At 45.8% G+C, this 4,643-nt stretch overlaps 1 annotated feature.

The window, feature by feature from the left end:
- Positions 456-1,019: an enhancer, noted in NCBI's record as "NANOG-H3K27ac hESC enhancer chr1:82533259-82533822 (GRCh37/hg19 assembly coordinates)". NCBI's record gives its function as "activates a minimal SCP1, AML or CMV promoter by ChIP-STARR-seq in naive H9 embryonic stem cells {active_cell/tissue: H9 hESC(naive)}" and the evidence as "EXISTENCE:reporter gene assay evidence [ECO:0000049][PMID:30033119]".

The raw sequence follows: 4,643 nt of genomic DNA on the forward strand, positions 1-4,643 counted from the left end.
CTTTTTTCTAAAATTTGGATCGTGTTTTAGGGTAGAATCTCAGAAATGGAAGATAAAGCAGGTTTCAAGGTCAAGGGAAAGCAATTGAGATGATCACAGAAACAGGAAGGACAAAGCCTGGAAAGATATTGTTTTATCAACAAGACCGCCTTGTTCTCTACATCTATTTGAGGATGACATTTATTAATGACAAAGACTATGACCTGATTCTTTTAGAAGGTCCAAGATTGGCAGTAAACATCATAAAAAAATTAAAAGAGGAAAAAAAAGGAAGAAAAGGAGGAGGGAAGAAAAGAGTACAAAAGAATGACTAAACCTGAATTATTTTTATACATTTGTAGGTCTGACAAATTGATCTTCTATTTTCCTCTGTAAATGGCACTTACCTAATTGGGGAGAACACAATCAAGCAATATTGCTTTACACTCTATTTTTTGTGTGTATGTGTGAGCAACATGGCTGTTTATTTCACCTGGGTGCAGGCGGGCTGAGTCCGAAAAGAGTCAGCGAAGGGAGATAGGGGTGAGGCCGTTTTATAGGATTTGGGAAGGTAATGGAAAATTACAGTCAAAGGGGGTTGTTCTCTGGTGGGCAGGGGTGGGGGTCACAAGGTGCTCAGTGGGGGAGCTTCTGAGCCAGGAGAAGGGAATTCACAGGGTTAATCACTCAGTTAAGGTGGGGCAGGAACAAATCACAATGGTGGAATGTCATCAGTTAAGGCGGGGCAGGGCCTTTTCACTTCTTTTGTGATTCTTCAGTTACTTCAGGCCATCTGGGCGTATACGTGCAAGTCACAGGGGATGTGATGGCTTGCCTTGGGCTCAGAGGCCTGACATTCCTGTCTTCTTATATTAATAAGAAAAATAAAACAAAATAGTGTTGAAGTATTGGGGCGGCGAAAATTTTTGGGGGTGGTATGGAGAGAGAATGGGCGATGTTTCTCAGGGCTGCTTCAAGCGGGATTAGGGGTGGCGTGGGAACTTAGAGTGGGAGAGATTAAGCTGAAGGAAGATCTTGTGGAAAGGGGTGATATTGTGGGGTTGTTAGAAGAAACATTTGTCGTATAGAATGATTGGTGATGGCCTGGATACGGTTTTGTATGAACTGAAAAACTAAATGGAATAAGAGAAGGAGAAAACCAGGTATAAAAGGTCTAAGAATTGGGAGGACCTAGGACATCTGATTAGAGAGTGCCTAAGGAGATTCAGCATAGTCCTGCCAGCCAAGATTATTTATTTACTTTAAGAGCTTAGAGTGGCAGTTTGGGGATAGCACCAAGAGACATCAGCTGTGATGGCTTGGAGAAACAGTGTAAACCGGCAGTGTAAACAAGAGCAGGGCATGTGTGAGTAGATGAGAACGGTGAATAGGAGTATGACTAGACAGAAGATAGTAGGGATGACAAGTTTTCTTGGGGGCACAGTCTAAGTTGGTCTGGTGTCTGGAATGAGACTGGGGCCTAATAAAAAGGAGTGTCTATACAGTAGCTCAAATGGGCTGTACCCTGTAGCATTCCGAGGACAGGCCTGAATTCCGAGAAGGGAAAGTGGTAAAAGTATTGTCCAGTCCTTTTTAAGTTGGTAGCTGAGCTTGGTGAGGTATGTTTTTAAAAGACCTTTAGTCCATTCTACTTTTCTTGAAGACGGAGGACCCTAAGGGATATAAAGGTTTCACTGAATACTAAGAGCCTGAAAAATTGCTTGGCTGATTTGACTAATAAAGGCTGGTCTGTTATCAGCCTGTATAGAGGTGGGAAGGCTAAACTGAGGAATTATGTCTGACAGAAGGGAAGAAATGACTGTGGTGGCCTTCTCAGACCCTGTAGGAAAGGCCTTTACTTATTCAGTGAAAGTGCCTATCTAGACTAAGAGGTATTTTAGTTTCCTGACTCGGGACATGTTGAGTAAAGCTAATTTGCCAGTCCTAGGTTGGGGCAAATCCTCGAGCTTGATGTGTAGGGAAGGGAGGGGGCCTGAATAATCCCAGAGGAGTAGTAGAATAGCAGATGGAACACTGAGAAGTTATTTCCTGGAGGATAGATTTCCACAATGGAAAGGAAATGAGAGGTTCTGAGAGGCGGGCTAGTGGCTTGTACTATAGCATAGCCTGCCTTTGCTGGTGTATGGCAATTAGGCCAGTGGAACTGCCATCAATAAATCAAGCGTGATCAGGGTGAGGAACAGGAAAGAAGGAAATATGGGGAAATGGGGTGAATGTCAGGTGGATCAGAGAGATACAGTCATGGGGGTCAGGTGTGGTATCAGGAATAATGTGGGAGGCCAGATTGAAGTCCGGGCCAGGAACAATGGTAACTGTGGGACTTAAAGAGTGAGTACAGCTGAAGGAGCCGGGGAGCAGAAAGTATATGCGTCAGGTATGAGGAAGAAAATAGATTTTGGAAGTTATGAGAAATGTAGAGAGTGAGTTGAGCATAGTTTGTGATTTTTAGGGCCTCTAACAGTATTAAAGCAGCGGCAGCCGCTGTACACAGACATGAGGGCTAGGCTAAAACAGTAAGGTCAAGTTGTTTGGACAGAAAGGCTACAGGGTGTGGTCCTGGCTCTTCTGTAAGAATTCTGACCACGCTAACCATGCCTAGGAAGGAAAGGAGTTGTTGTTTTGTAGAAGGTGCTGGGGTTTGAGAGATCAGTCGGACACGATTGGCAGGGAGAGCACGTGTGTTTTTATGAGACTTATGCCGAGATAGGTAACAGATGAGGAAGAATTTGGGCTTGATTGAAGTAATAGGGGCTGTCTGTGAAGCTTTGCAGCCGTACAGCCTAGGTAATTTGCTGAGCTTAATGGGTGTCAGGGTCAGTCCAAGTGAAAGCGAAGAGAGGCTGGGATTAAGGGTGCAAAGGAATAGTAAAGAAAGCACGTTTGAGATCTAGAACAGAATAATGGGTTATAGAGGCAGGTATTGAGGATAGGAGAGTGTATGGGTTTGGCACCACAGGGTGGATAGGCAAAACAATTTGGTTGATAAGGCACAGATCCTGAACTAACTTGTAAGGCTTGTCTGGTTTTAGGACAGGTAAAATAGGGGAATTGTAAGGAGAGTTTATAGGCTTAAAAAGGCCATGCTATAGCAGGCGAGTGATAACAGGCTTTAATGTTTTTAAAGCGTGCTGCGGGATGGGATATTGAGTGGGGTAAGGGTGATTAGGTTTTAATGAGATGGTAAGGGGTGCATGATTGGTCACCAAGGAGGGAGTAGAGGTATCTTATACTTGTGGGTTAAGGTAGGGGGGATACAAGAGGAGGACGCAAAGGAGGCTTTGGATTGGGAAGAAGGGCGGCAATGAGATATAGCTGTAGTCCAGGAATAGTCAGGGAAGCAGATAATTTAGTTAAAGTGTCTCGGCCTAATAAGGGAACTGGGCAGGTGGGGATAACTAAAAGGAGTGCTTAGAAGAGTATTGTCTAAGTTGGCACCAGAGTTGGGGAGTTTTAAGAGGTTTAGAAGCCTGGCCGTCAATACCCACAACAGTTATGGAGGCAAGGGAAACAGGACCTTGAAAAGAAGGTAATGTGGAGTGGGTAGGCTCCTTATTGATTAAGAAGGGGACGGGCTTACCTTCCACTGTGAGAGTTACCGGAAGCTCGGCATCCGTGATGGTCTACGGGGCTTCCGAGGCGATCGGGCAGCATCAGTCTTTAGCCGCTAAGCCGAGAAGATCTGGGAAGGAGTCAGTCAGAGAGCCTTGGGCCAGAGTTCCAGGGGCTCTGGGAATGGCTGCCAGGTGAGTTGAACAGTCCGATTTTCAGTGGGGTCCCACACAGATGGGACGTGGCTTAGGAGGAATCCTGGGCTGCGGGCATTCCTTGGCCCAGTAGCCAGATTTCCGGCATGTGTAGCAAGCTCCTGTGGGAGGAGGTTCTGGAGGAACTCCTGGCCGCTGCGGTTCAGGCGTTTGGAAGTTCTTGTGTGCTGGAGATGTGGCTGGGGTTTGTCTCACAGTGGAGGCAAGGAATTGCAATTTTTTCTGTTATTGTACACCTTGAAGGTGAGGTTAATTAAATCCTGTTGTGGGGTTTGAGGGCCAGATTCCAATTTTTGGAGTTTAATGTCGGGAGCAGATTGGGTAATAAAATGTATATTGAGAATAAGACGGCCTTTTGACCTTTTAGGGTCTAGGGCTGTAAAGCATCTCAGGATTGCTGCCAAACGAGCCATGAACTGGGCTGGATTTTTATATTTGATGAAAAAGCCTAAATGCTATCTGATTTGGGATAAAGAAAAAGGAGCATTAACCTTGACTATGCCTTTGGCTTTTTAAGAGTAAATTGCTGGGACAGGTTGGGGAGGGCTAGTCATGGAACAAAACTGCAAGCCGGACCAGGTGTGAGGAGGGGAGGTGAAAAAGAGATTATAGGGTGGAGGAGCAGAGGCTGAGGAAGAACTGGGACCTAGCTCGGCCTGGCGAGGAGCAGCCTGGGGAGGAAGGGAGAGGTCAGATGGGTCTGTAGAAAAGGAAGATTAGAAAGACTCAGCGATGCTTGGGGTTGGTACTGAGGGGACAGGCGGGAGGGAAAGAAGGAAGATTTGGGACGAGTTGCACTGGGCACAGAGACTAGGAAGGGACTGATGTGTAAAAGAATGCCTGGATGTCAGACACCTCAGACCCTTTGCCTATTTTACG

Source organism: Homo sapiens, chromosome 1, assembly GCF_000001405.40.
Source record: "Homo sapiens chromosome 1, GRCh38.p14 Primary Assembly".
In the NCBI taxonomy this organism is placed as follows: domain Eukaryota; kingdom Metazoa; phylum Chordata; class Mammalia; order Primates; family Hominidae; genus Homo; species Homo sapiens.